The sequence below is a fragment of the Homo sapiens genome, chromosome 2 (genome assembly GCF_000001405.40).
Source record: "Homo sapiens chromosome 2, GRCh38.p14 Primary Assembly".
Classification (NCBI taxonomy): Eukaryota; Metazoa; Chordata; class Mammalia; order Primates; family Hominidae; genus Homo; species Homo sapiens.
This window is the reverse complement of record NC_000002.12, coordinates 100270476-100284996: the sequence shown is the minus strand read 5'-3', so window position 1 is coordinate 100284996 and position 14521 is coordinate 100270476. Positions and strand designations below refer to the sequence as shown.

Sequence of the window (14521 nt, the reverse complement as noted above, 5' to 3'; positions counted from 1 at the left end):
TAATTTATGATAACTCTTGCATATGACATGCATACATATATATGTTTCATACATACACTCATTTGCCACATTGAGTATGTCACTCAAACTTGTACACATACTTTTAGCCTTTATAATATTATGCTTTATATGGCATGCTTAAGACATAAAAAATAATAGCACAGAACATTGGAAAGTGAAGGTTAAAGTGATAGTATTCTCCTCTGACTGGTATATACTCTTAACTGAAAGCTTGAGAGAACAGAAGCAACTAATTCATAGAATCTCCCCATGGAAGATGCTTCTCTTTGCAGGCTCTTCCTTTTGTGAGTTCCCCCACCTTTAAATGTGTACCATAAAAGTAAACTATGTATTTTGAGAGCTGAATGAATTGTGAATTAGCCCTAAAATACAAGGTGGCATTTAATTCTTGCTCACGTGTCTGTTGGTGGAGCAAAAGACTGTGTTGGGGAACAGGCTTGCATTTCCAGTGTTAACCTTGCTTTCCCCTCATCTCTTTTGCAGAGTAATCCCAGCGGCCCTGCCTGGTCCTGGTGGATCCTGGCCGTGCTGCCCCTGGAGCGCAAGGCTCAGCTGGCCATCCTCGGCATGACCTCGCTCAAAGAGCGGCTCCTTGCCATCCGACGGATATTAGTCATCATCACGCGTAAGATGAATAGTCGGCAAGAGCTGGCTAATGCCAGGGAGAGAAATAATTGATTTTTCTCTCTGTCAAGGTTTCTGGCAGCCCTTGTGCTTTTATAAATGTCAGGCATGGACGAATAGCCGTCCATTCATTGTGCTTCATCAAGTGCTTGTGGATGAGGTTCCAAAATGGGACGCTTGCCAAACATTGAGTCCTCCTCAAAAATGACAATTCTGTGTCTGGTGGGATCTGACCTTGTGTGAGGTTAGCCTGAAGTCTGAATGGAGCCCATAGTTGGAAAACAACCTAAGAAAATCTCTTAGAAGCAGGTGCTTGGGGAATGCAGTTCACTGACAGCACAGGACCCTGCAGATGGTTTACATGTGGTTTGGGTTTCACGAGAAAGAAGGATTCACTTCCCAGTCAGCATCTGGCTCTGCCAGATGGTAAAGGCGTGCTTTAGTGTGTAGACAATATGGGGGAACCACGTTTTTATCTGGAAGTGGATTTCTTAGAACACAGGCTAACCAAAACTACGCTTAGGCTTTGCGTGTTGCTGTGAAGTTGTCTGTGAAATCGAATAATCACACCATTGTTCAGTGCAGGAGCCCAAACTAGTCCTTACCCAAGAAGTAGTAGCCTCTGGATAGAACTGTGTTTAATGTCCTGTTGTAGTCCCAGGTGTTGTAAATTGCATGTTGTAATCAAACGAATGTCAAAACATAAGAAAGTATACCTTGGATATAGAAAAACCTGAGAACAGTATCATTCACTTGAGGATATATATATATATATTTACACACAATAAAGTGAGTTAAAATTGTATATGCATTGGGATGTCAAACATAAAACCACCAAGTGCAAAGAATGCTTTGAAAGTAGAACCTTGTCTCATTGATCAGTGGTTACTAAGCATTTAGGAAACAGTCATCTTTTTCTATTGGGATTTGCATTAGAAATTAGCCCCATCAGTAAATTTCAGTTTACTATCCATTTATTAATATACAAAAACATTAAAAAATCTGCCATGCCATGGTAATCTATCTATTCCAGGAAAATAGATCAGAATATATGAAGGGAGGATGGCCGGTATGGGATGTAAATATTCAGTAAGTTTTTCTCCAACACCAACCTAAAATTATCTTTATTTTTTTGAAAGAAAGTTTTACGGTGATCAGACCAGGTGTTATCTGTTAAAGGACAGTAGTATGACTTCCATCCTGTAATGCACGTTGGTGATATTGATTGGAATAACTGAATCTGAGATACTCATATGTTCTCTCTGGCCCAACCAGCTGGTGCATTTGGTTGGCTTCCTCGTCTGTAAGGTGGACATTCTTAACCAGAGGGTCACGACCACATCACAGCTGCAAGTTTTGCTTTGTTCATTGAAGGTGATTTTTTAGTTTTAAAATATATATATCTCATAATATACAATGTTGATGGTATATCAATCCATCAAGCATTTTATTAGAAAGACTTTATAATATTATTAATTTTTCTTTAGTTTTCAGTAGATAAAGTAGTTTCAGTAGATAAAGACTTTATAATATTATTAATTTTTCTTTTAGTTTTCAGTCTCATCATGGGAGTTAGAAAATACCAGCATCACTTAATTGTAAAGAGAAAATGTGAAAGTATTTTCCAATCCAATGTTTCAAGTGCCTCACTTATTGTGAATCTCAAATATCATCTTGAGATGGTTTAATGGCAGTTTGGCCAAGTGATTTCTAAGAGATTTTATTAATTTATGCATTAACAATAGTATTCAACTTTCTTAGGCATTATAACCTAACCCGATCATTTGATTGGAATAACTGAATCATTCATTGATTGGAATAAAATAAAGAAAACAAAATGCATCTCACATGCCAGAAGACCTTTACCAGAAGTGGTTCATGAAAATCAGTATGCATTGACCATTCTCTGCCTTTCCCTTTTGGAAAATTTTTTTGTACCTTCATATCACAGCTGAATAGTTATCAATGCCATTTCCATTTGGAAGTATCTAAATAACCACAATGTGATCACAGCTTCTCCACGAGCCTTCCTGAAGTAAAGCTGGTATGCTTGCTATAATACTTGGAACCTGTTGCTTTCTCTTCCTCACTCTTTAAATGTCATAAGGTCACACAGTTCTTGGAATCAGAACTATTCAGTTATTTCTTCATGATTCTGCCTGGCTTTCTGAGTCTTCTCCTTCGGCATGTTATGTAAAAGTCTGAACAACAATGATGACGCAGACGAGAGCAACATACGTTTTTATTTTTTGATAGGTTTTTATTTTTTTGATACCAGAGGGAATTAACTATGATCACATCGTGCTCTCTCTGTTCAGCATCACACGCCCACATACTGCAGTGTGGGAGTAGATTGGTACTTACTGAGCACTTAGAAACATCACGCATCAGGAACCGGGTCAGGGTGACAGCATCCTACGGTCATATCATGAAGGAAGCCTCCCTTACAAACCTAAAAAAAAAAAACCCCAGCTTCAGTTTGCTACCAATTAAGCTAAAGCAGAACGGTCTGCTTCCTCCTCCGCCTGCCCCCTTCTGCCTCTTTTCTGTTGGGGAGATGCCAATTCTAAGGATTTCTCAGAAAATAATGTAATCTCTCATTCAATGTCAGGACATTCCAGCTTAATTGTACTGAAAGTGCTCCAATAGGCATGCTCTCGTTACATTGGAATCAAAGCAGAAAAGAGTAATAGCAGCGTGGGGGAGTCATTTTTCTTCTTGAGGAACAATACATGCTGTTCTGTATTTTTCCATTCATCGCCCAAACCTGCCTGTGTCTTTGAAATGCAAGTAAGATCCCAAAGGCAGCTTTCTGAAAGCCCGTGGCATTTTTAGCTTATCCCATCCCCCGTGTGTGTCCTCATCTTCAGAATTGAAAGTTAGGATACTTTTTAAAGTTTCAAAAGAAAATAATTTAAAATGTTAAGGTTTATCCATAGAAACACAATAATTCTTAACCAATTCATGTACCAAATTCAACAGTATTATCTCATTTTTAGGGTCACAAATGTGTCCTTTTTGCACTTAAACCTCCTCCCTCTCTCAAAAACAAAAACAAACAAACAAACAAAAAACACACCAAGACTGTTTAACAAATTGTATCTCAACTCTTAATATATGTTAAGTCTTACCACAGGACATTTGAATCATCAAGGAACAGTTGAAGTTTATGGATGGTAGAATAACAATGAACTATGATATTATCACTTTATTATAAACTTTTTGGAAAATTGGCAGTTGCTACCATCGAAATACTCCATTGCCTGTGTTACATAGAATTTGTTATAATTTTTAAGGGCTTTAAAAAAATACCCATCTGTTTCTTCTCCTTCTTGTTTTCTTTTGTGCCCCACCACTTAAATTACTTGGGTAAATACCACTCTTCAAAATTTGAATACTGTCTATCAAATAAGAAGAAGTGTGAAAGATATGAAGAAGAAAGGTGATAGCAAATTAGAAGAAAATAAATGTGGGTGATTTCTTTTAGTTGAAAGCACAGAGTTTTATTTTTCCCCAGTATAACTATTGAGTAGGGTAGGGAGGTCCCTGTATCCCCATTTTTATTTTTTTTGAGATGGGGTCTCACTCTGTCACCCAGGCTGGAGTGCAATGGCGCAATCTCGTCTCACCACAACCTCCGCCTCCTGGGTTCAAGTGATTCTCTTGCCTTGGCCCCCTGAGTAGCTGGGATTACAGGCACGCGCCACCACACCCAGCTAATTTTTGTATTTTTTTTTTTTAGTAGAGATGGGGTTTCACCATGTTGGTCAGGCTGGTCTCGAACTCCTGACCCCATGATCTGCCCGCCTCGGCCTCCCACAGTGCTGGGATTACAGGCGTGAGCCACCGTGCCCGGCCCATCTCCCCATGTTTTAGCATAGACAGCAGCGGCATTCAGTGGAAGGAGTTCTTCCCCTTCAACATCGTCCTTCCCAAAGGCCACATTCTGATTCTATTGTTCACCAAAAACTAATTCCCAGGGAAGCCCGCTCTGGATGGGAAGGATGAGCTGCGTGAGCCATCGCCCACACAGGGAGATAACCGAACCCCTTTGCCAGCATCACCCCCTCTCTACTGGGGTGAGACACTTCATTCAGAGCACTGGCTCTGACTCCCAGGGGAAAGTCTTTTTCCCTTTACAACTCCTCACCTCAGCCTCACCTTGACTTTCACTTCTCAACTGCTGAATTCTATAAAATAGCCTTTTAGCAGTGACTCAGCTTTTAGGTGAGCACAGATAATGAAGAAATTGAAGTGCCACCATTGCACTCCCCCAAGTTGGGGACATAAACTCGAATTTGCACCCAGGTCTGATAAAAGTAACTGATTGAGGACGCAGAAAGGTGGATGCCATTGACAGCGTTGACTGTTCTCACAATTCCTACAGAAATGAAAGAAGGAGAGGCCCAGCAGACCACACCGGGCCATGAGGGGAAGCATGGGAGACAGGCAGAAGCAGGAGTGAGGAGGAACGTGGCTCAGACCCTCTACTGTATGTTCTGCAGGAAAGGGCAGGGAAATAGCTAAGACTGGCTGGTCTGAATAACAGCTCAGACTCTAGGCTATACAGGTGGTCTCTAGCCATCTGGCACCTAGCCCCGGGTCGTTAGGGTGGGGGATATTGCTTCCTAGGTTGTAAGAGCCAGATAGAGGAGGATGGGCTCTGGATTGGTCACTTTGCTCCCAGGGTAGCCCTTTGCTGTATCTAAGAATTGGCTCACCCTGGGATGGGCAGTTTCTCCTGGGTCAGCGAGGCCCCTGAGATGTCAAAATATCATAAAATATAGAAATCATGATTAATACAATTGGTCCTCTGCTGTTTTGACATACTAAGGTCACTTTTGATAGCAGAAACTTTTAAAGAGTAGGGCATACGTTGCCCTGAAGAGCATAGAAAACATTTTATTCTGAGAGTAGAAAGGAGGAAGACACGTGGAGATACAGGAGTCCCTTAGGCTGGCCCATAGCTGAGTCTCTCATGTGTGTGGCATTAGTCAAGAATGTAGTTCTGCAGTTTGCGGGGGGGGGGTCTCTAACATTTCTTGGTGCAGTTGTTAACATGTGTTAAACATATGAGTCTGATGATGATATCGCGGTGTTTCTCGGCTCGGGGTGGCAGGTCTGGCGGTTGTGTGGCTGGGGGTGTGCACTGATAGTTCAGTAAAGGATAAGTAGAGACTCGTGGTGTTCATGTGTCACCACAGGGAGGGAGTGGCTGTGGAGACCCAGGACAGGAAGTCGCGGTGGAAAGCAGGCTGGGGTGGTAGGAGAAGGCACCGGGGGTGGGTGCTCCTCCCCCAGGGGTTGAGGAGTTGACTGATAGGGGGCAGTTACCTCCTGGGAAAGCAAGACGCTCCCTTAAGTTTTAGAATGGTACAGAGAGTAGTCCCTTCTACCAGAGTTTCCATTTAGACATGGGAGTGTAGGGGGCCATGTTTCGGCAGAAGCAGGGCATGTATCAGCATTAGTGGACTCCTCAGTATTAAAAGGAAGAACAGCAAACATGTCATGTGCCCACTTTGTGCCTCAGGAGAGGTAGCCCGTGGACATCGCTAGGGCAGAGGTTTTAATATCTGGGACAAAGTTATCTCCCACGGCGAGGTCGTGGCTGGGACCATGTCATCTTCAGCCGTGAGCTGCTGGGCTGGGCAATGTCTTCTGGGATGTGAGACGTGGGGTCTCCTTTCTAAGCGGACCCCCACTCGTGCTGATGTGGGTCCCAGCATTTGCCGCGTTTGGTTGAAACAGTGGCTTACCTGGAGGGTCTGGGTCTCTGGATCATAAACCAGCGAAAGCCCCCACATCAGTGGTGACAAGATCAATAGACCCCAGAATGTGTGCAGCTGTGCTTGATAGGGTTTTGGTTCTTGCTTTTTGGTGGAAGTTTAGGCTCAAGTGGGTCCCGTATCGGATGAGCAGCTGCACGGCCTGTGGGAGCCCTGGGGTTAGTGGGTCCAGGAGAGAATGTGTTCTCTCTCTGGGCTCCAGCCCTGATGGGGTGGGGATAAGATGCAAGATTTATAGGAATAGGGGGAAACATTATGGAAGGCCCCAATATGTAATGAGCTTTTATATACAAGAATGCAAGACATAGCCCTCTTTTTATGTTTAAAGGGGACTATGGTAATGTTTTTTAAAGTTTGTGTGAGGTGTGAGTCAACCGAAAGGCCCTAAATTAAGAGAGATTCAGGTTTGTGGTGCAAGATAGAGGCCCATTTCGGGGTCTGTTTGCAGACCAGAATTTGAAATGGAGTTGTTTGAGGAGACCATTGTGTGTCTTCGTGAAACCGATTGTGTGGAACCTATCAGGGCTGTGGAAGTTGTAGCGAATGCCTTTTCCCAGAGCCCAGCATTGTGGATTCCGAGAAGTGGCATGTGTGTCTCAGTGACTTCCAGTGATGCCTGCCACTCTGAAGAGATGAAGGAGTGTCCTGGCAAGACCTGGAATCCCAGCTGTAGCACCTGTGGAGAGATGTGATTTAGATTTGGATTTGGGGTATCTGTGAGGAAGAGTCCCAGAGTTTTTCATCCTGAAGGGGGCAACTCTTGGGCAGTGGTCCAACAGTTGGCCATAAATGTGAAGCTGGGGCGCTGTGCTGACCAGGGCATCCAGCGTTAAGACGACTGCCTAACTTTGGCCACATGCGTTGTTTTTTGGGTTCCGTTTCGTATCAGGGCATGCTGGCTAAAAGATGGGAAGCAGCAACATTCTCTTGGGCTCCATCATTTATATGAGGGTTGGCAATGCCATCTGTACCCTCTGTGAACTCCCACTGCTGTTCACTCAGTTAATCTAAGGGACACCAAGGGGTCTGCGGGAGGATGACCTCACAAGGGACTGAGGACATGGGAGACCACCCTCCTGTGGGTAGAATACACCAGAGGGCCCAGGCTTGACTCTGTCCTGTGTTAAGGAGGCATCGGTAGTTTTGCTGAGCTTGTCAGGTGTTTATAATGGACAGTTGGAGATTGGGGTCCTAGGCTTAGGTCTTTGAGAGCCTCTGTGTCCAGGAGAGCCCAGTAGGCATCCAGCCATTTACTGCTTTAATAGGGTAGCATGAGGCTGAGAGGGATAGTTTCTTGCATCCAAAGCCCTTAGGCACCTTATGTCCATCCTAAGTGGGCCAGAGACTCCAGGGCTGCATAGAGCTTGCCAGAGCTTCTATAATGAAGGGGTCTCTGAGGGCACCAACAGGAGTGCCCATGGATTTTAAGGTTTGATTATAGAGGTTGTTTATGGAGGGTGCCCCATTTAAAGCAAGCTGATTTGTAAGCAGCAGCAAGAAGATTAAGTAAAATTTGTAAATGAGGACTACATTGCCATCAGAACCTCGAAAGTATCTAAAGATGTTGGACTTGTATGTCCTTAATGAGTGTGACAATGAGTTTCCTCATTTGTGCTCCTGGAGAAGGCGGATGTGGTGAAGACCCTGTCTGCAGACATTGTGTGCCATGGCAAAGCCGTGGAGCTCCCTGTGGGTGGCCTGCAAAGGTGTATGTGCCCCTCAGGGCAGAAGGCAAACGGCAGCCAAGAAGCTGTGCAAGTAGACACTTAATGGGACATGTTAGCCAAATCTGTAAGAGCAAAATATTGGCCAGTTATTTATTGTGTAGAATTAATAATTTTAATAATAATGGAAATTGGGTAATGGATGGGACTGCAGCAATAAGGTTGTAGTAATCCACCATGAGGCACACTTGTTTTTTTCCAGGTTTAAGGATAGGAAAGATTGGGCTGTTCAATGGAGAAACAAGGGTATAATCACCCCTTTATTAATTAGTAAGTTTTAATCCTTGAATACCTCATATTAACTGTTTTAACTGGAGGTCCATGGGGCATCATTTTATCAAGCTAGTTTATAACTGCCAAAGACTGACTTTAATTTTAATTTATTATTTGTTTTATTAGAGTGTCTGTGTTCAATATGGGATATTAGGGCGTTGGGTACTATGACCACAGGAAATTTAGACAGGCTACAGTTAAAGTGAAGCATACCTTACCCATCCACCCCCCATTTTATATTTAGTTGCCTTTTTAAAAAGATTATAGGGGTACAATGTTTAGATTTAGTGGGATCTCCAGGTATAACTGTAATTTGAGCCCCAGTGTTAAGACTATGAAGCTTTGTCAATGGGTACATTTTAGCAAATGTTACAATTAATTTAGAACCTAAGTTATGGAGACACAAAAGCCAATAGGCACCCTTTTATGTTTTGGTTAAATGTTTCAGTATATACATCTTATTTATTTGTAATATTAGTATATAATTTGTTGTATACATTTTTAGTGTATAAGCGTTGGATTTCTAATTGGATCAGATTAGGGACCTTCCGTTTAGCTGCATATGTACATATACATGTACAATTTATTATATATTTGCGTTAAAATAGCCTATCTGCATGTGTATATATGTGTGTATGTGTATGTATATGCACTCACACGCATAAATACACAGTCTATTTAGTTACCTTTAATGTTTTTTCCCTTGTACCTAGGCTTTTTCTCGCTTTTTCCTTTTTTTCTGATTTTGTGGCAATTTAGTTGGAAGGAGGCGGTCCCAGCATGTTGACAGGCAGGGTGTTCAGAGTGCCCAGGCACACTGGTGGGGGGTGGTTACAGGCTCACGTAGCTCAGGGGCTTCTGCAGGTCTCAGGGGAGTGGGAACAAAGTGTCCCACCCCTTCCCCTTTTCCTCAAACCTCAAGCCACTGGTCTCTATGGATAGATCCTTTGCATCCCACCGGATTGAGGAATGAGTCACAACAGCTGCAAGGCTCTTAAAGCAACATTTAAACCTTTTGGCGGCTGTCATTTCTGTGAGGAGGGTGCCTCTCACCGGCCGCATGGCCGGAGGATCCCTGCAGCGCTTTGGAGACCAACACCCAGATCCTTTGCCCAGGAGTGCGATTAATTCCTCACTGGATGCTGGGGGAGGGCCCCTCAGGTGAGCAGCCCACCACTGACTTCAGCGTTGCTGGCTCGGTTATCAGACTCTCATCCAACACAAGCTCACAGGGAAAGCCGTTCCTTGCTCCTTGTGGAGGGAGCTACCGTCATTGCCCTGAGACCACCAGCCAAGAAAGTAGGTATGTCCAGGTAGGGAATTCAGAGGGACCCAGTGCATCCAATTATACAATTATACCCAGAAGGTCCTGTGTAGGGGACTGCGATTGACATCACCCTAGTCTGCAGCACCAAGGACTGAATGAGCTCAGTCCTCTTATAATTTAGGCTGGACTGTCACAGACACTGGCAGACACAGCATACGTGGTGCAGCCAAAGTGCAAACATGCCAGCAGCGGCCATGCTCCCCAGGGTGGGGGTCCAGTTAGTAAGCCACGCGCAGCCAAGAGGCGAGGCATGCCCTGTGCCACACACGGACTCACCCTGCTCACTGTGCCCGTGGTATCGAAATGTACCCACGTTTAATTCATAAAGGAGAGGCTGCTGTCATTGAAAGAAAAGTTTGTTACTTGCATTTCTGGAGAAAAGGAGCGCACCAGGCCACGCAGGGCCACAGGAGGAGGACGCACCAGAGTGGTCAGGAGGCAGAACTAGGCGAGCAGCTTTCCACTGTGTCTCCATGGCAAAGGCGAAGATGGGCGGGGGCAGAGTGTAGGATTGGCAGGTTTGAATGTCTTGGGCAGTAGCTACAGGGGTGGTCTCCAGCTGCCTGGTGCCTGGCCCTGGGTGATCAGGGTGAGGGGATACTGCCTTCTGCAGTGGAAGAGTCAAATCGAGGAGATGGACTCTGAGTTGGTTAGTGTGCAAAGGTGCACTCCCAAGGGACCCCTTTGCTATCTCTAAGAATTGGCCTGCCCTGGGAAGGGCAGTCTCTCCCCAGTCAGTGAGGTCCCCAAGATGTGAAAACATTATACATTATAAAAAAGCATGATTAATATAAGCTCATTCTAGCATTTCAGGTTACAGCTTCTAGAAGAGGTTTGTAGTCTCAAATGAGTAGGTTTTTCCTCTAGAGAGGGGCGGGCCTGGACCTTCAAGCACCCCTTGGTGTGTTTAGGAGCTCAGGAGCAGAAGCACCTGCCTGCAGCCCTGCAGCTAAGGAAGTTCTCTCAGTCACTCAGAGCAGGGAGGGGCTGAGAGAGTCATGTGAGGCTCCCGGGGTACTACGACAGCCCTCGAGGTGAAGGATTGGCCCTGATCATAATAGAGAACCCTGAGGAAGTTTACTGTCATGAGTCTCGGCTGGTTGGCGCATGTGACCTTTGAAGGATGAAGATGGAGTTTGCAACATGAGTATCTCTAACCTTTTGCTTTTCAGGGATCATTTTCAAAAATTGCATTGGGGCCTTCGTTATTTACCATAGTATTTTCACTTTCATAGTTTTGTCACCTTTTTGTACTGTGAACAGTTCAACCAGTGACCGACTTCTCTCTCATGCTGTTTACCCCACACACAATTTCCCACTCAATTCTGAAAATAAGAACCTGTTAATAGGTTGGAAAGCTGTGTACTCTATTCATATATTGTTCTTTCATGCTAGTGGAGAGTGGTGTCATTAGCATCTTAATTTTAGAGTTGTGAAATGATTTTACCAATTAGGAATTGAATGTGTATTTTTTTTCTGTTTAATAAGAAGAGCAAATTTGAATAAATAAGCTGGTGTAGATAAACTTAATAATCATGCTTTTTCTTGTTTGGAGATAGGTGATGTGTTGTCATATCCTGTGATACAGGTCACTCATCTGGCCTTCTGTTTCTGAAGTTTAAGTCTGGTTTGAATATGTAATAATACTACTCAGCATTTCTTGTTGCCTAAGTGAGACGAAACTTAAATGTTATGATATTTACTTCATGTATTCTTGTACTGTTCATTTCAATTAATTGGTATTGTATATCTAATATGTGATATTTGAACTGAATAAAACTTACAGTGTTGTAAATGTTCTTTAATAAATAATCACACCTAAGTAATAGGCTAGACTGATGAGAAATTAGATCAAATCAGTGCCTAGGCCTTTGTGTTTGTGTCGTAGGGATGTACTAACACATCACCACAGACTGACGGCTTTTCACAATAAATCAGTTTTCTTCGCTCACATTTCTGGACATTAGAAATCCAAAGCCAAGGTGCCAGTAGGGCCGGGCTTTCTCTGAAGGCCCCAGGAAAACTCCTCCTTCATCTCCTCCAGCTGGTGTGGCTGCTGGCCGACCTCGGCCTTCCTCGGCCAGCGGCTGCATCACTCCAGTTTCCGTGTCCATCGTCACATGGCCTTCTTCCCTCTGTGTGTCTGTGTCCAGATATCCCTTTCCTTATATAAGGACACCAGTCATTAGATTTAACTTCCACCCTAATCCAGGATGACCTCATCTTAACTTGATTACATCTGCAAAGACTGTATTTCCAAATAAGGTTATATCCACAGGTTCTAGTGGACATGAATTTTAGAGGAACAGTATTCAACACAGTGCAGATGTGGAACGATTCCAATTTAATTTTAGTAGGAAAAAAAAGGAAAGAGGGCTGCCAATGGCTTTGGCTTAAAACCATAATTACTTTTAAAAATCATTTCTATCCAAGGCAGATAAGATTTAATAAGAACTGAAGCTTGTATAGTTGTTTATTTGGGAGGAAGGGGGTAGTGCTTCTTAAGAAAAGGAATATGAATTGCAAATACTGAGTTAACTATGAAAGCATATATTTATTTGGAATTTTTAGAGGCATAAATTACAATATTTAAAACAGCATAACACTCTACAAAATACTGAAAAGTATTTTTATTAACTTCCTGGCACCTTTATGATACCTTTCCCATCTTTTTTTTTCTTTTTTTTAACCTACATACTCTGGTTAGTTTGTTTGTTTATTTATTTATTTATTTTCTTCTTGGGGGACATGGTCTTGCTGTGTCATCCAGGCTGGAGGGCAGTGGTACAAGCATAGCTCACTGCAGCCTCAACCTCTTGGGTTCAAAGGATTGTCCTGCCTCAACCTTCTGAGTAGCTGGGACCACAGGTGCATGCCGCTATACCCGGCTAATTTTTTTACTTTCTATGGAGACGAGGTCTAGCTGTGTTGCCCAAGCTGGTCTCAAATTCCTGGGCTCAAGCAGTTCTCCCACCTTGGCCTCCCAAAGTGTGAGATTGCAGGCATAAGCCACTGCACCTAACCCTGCATACTCTTTGATCATCTTTTTCTTCTTAGGACAATCTTGTGTTGGTTACTAAAGAGAGAATGATATTTAAGTTCTTCCTCTAACATGGATATGGGGCAAAAATCATAGACTAAAAGTTTCAGTTTTCACAAGTCATTATTGGTAATGTCATTTAAATAGGATGGTTGTCAAATCTGGGAAAACCTCTGATGAAGTCTTTTATATGTGAGTTGTAAGGATCAGGCATTTTCCCGCTTCCTCATGCAGTGACTAATCTTAACTCCTTCAGCACTGTTGGATGAAACTTTCTGTGATGACGGACATTGTTGGAAATAAAGCTCGGAGTCATAAGGAAAATGAGTACTTAGACATGCTCTGTATTTGTGCTGTACAGTATGGTAGCCACCAGCCACATGTCACTTTTGAGCACTGACGATGTGGTTAGTGTGGCTGAGAAACTAAATTTTTTATTTAATTTGATTTTAACATTTGGCTTTTCCTCCAGAAAGCTGCCCCCTCCCGGCCCCGTGGCCCACCTCTGTGTCCCCAGCTGGGCCTCCCTCCAGGCCCAGTGACTGTGTCCACTGACTGGGGCCTGAGCCAGTGGATTTGGTGAAAACTAACCAAGGTTTATTATAAACAAAACTGTCCACCTCACTCACCCACCTGAATATGCTTGGAATGACTATTGAATCAATATGTTTAAAAATGAACAGGCGTATGCTTCTGGACAGGTTCCTCTTTATGTTCTTGAGATCTTTTCCTTCCTTTCCACATGAAGTCAGGTGTTTCAGTCAGGATGGGCTACATGATGCTGTGGTAAGAAGCATCCCCCACATCTCAGTGCTCTCCGTGGCAAAGGTTTATTTTTTACTGATCCAACATATTTCTCTGTGGTGGGCACCCGTGGTCCATGGCCCACCTCCCCTTCAGTGAGAGACTGGTTGCTGCCGCTGCGGGGAGCTCTACTGGTGGTGGCTTTTGGCTGCCTGCCCCTTCACAGGGCCACCTTACCCAAAGGCTCTCCCTTTTTGGGAAAGTTAACATTCTGTGACTGATCAAAGTCGTTGCATAAAGGCCTAGCCACCTCAGCCACACATGGGACAACTCTGAAGGGCCAGGTTGCTCTGAGCTCTGCGTTCAACTGATACTGTCACTGCACCTGCAGGACAGCTGGACTTCTCCCTTTGCCCACAGCCACTTCCTTCCTTAGGCATGAGTCCCAAGAACACTCCTTAATAAGCACCTTGCCTGCTAAGTCCTTGTCTCAGATCTGCTTCCCTAGAGCCAGCCTGCAATGGTTAGTTAGTACCAGGAGTGGGGGTTGGAGCTGGATCACTCACCACTTTTCTAGCAATAAGAACCCCTATCACTGGTGGTAGGTGGAACACAGCCCCATCATGAAGTGACAGTCCAATTTTTAAAACGTGAAGGGGGCCAGCCCCTCTACACCTGTGAGTATTTCTTGTCAGGTGGGACGAGAGACAGAAAAAAGACGAGACAAAGTATAGAGAAAGACAAGTGGGCCCAGGAGACCGGCACTCAGCATACAGAGGACCTGCACCGGCACCAGTCTCTGAGTTCCCTCAGTATTTATTGATTACTGTTTTCACTATCTCCACAAGGGGAATGCGGCAGGAGAGCAGGGTGATAGTGGGGAGAAGGTCAGCAAGAAAACATGTGAGCAAAGGATTCTGTGTCACAAATAAGTTCAAGGGAAGGTACTATGCCTGGACGTGCACATAGGCCAGATTTATGC

General features: G+C 43.9%; 1 protein-coding gene across 3 annotated transcripts in view, besides 1 other annotated feature; it reads left to right on the top strand.

Annotated features, from left to right (window-relative positions):
* The window catches only part of LONRF2 (LON peptidase N-terminal domain and ring finger 2), a 50627-nt gene extending 37505 nt beyond the window's left edge, over positions 1–13122 (top strand). For all 3 annotated transcript variants that reach the window (NM_198461.4, NM_001371783.1, XM_047443537.1), the window contains one exon: positions 505–13122. In NM_198461.4, coding sequence (NP_940863.3) covers positions 505–699 — 195 coding nt within the window. In that variant the 3' untranslated portion in view covers positions 700–13122. The remainder of the gene's footprint in view (positions 1–504) is intronic.
* Positions 10685–10734: a silencer, noted in NCBI's record as "silent region_11813". NCBI's record gives its function as "represses an Ori minimal core promoter by ATAC-STARR-seq in GM12878 lymphoblastoid cells {active_cell/tissue: GM12878}" and the evidence as "EXISTENCE:reporter gene assay evidence [ECO:0000049][PMID:35858748]".
* Positions 13123–14521: the final 1399 nt, after the last annotated feature.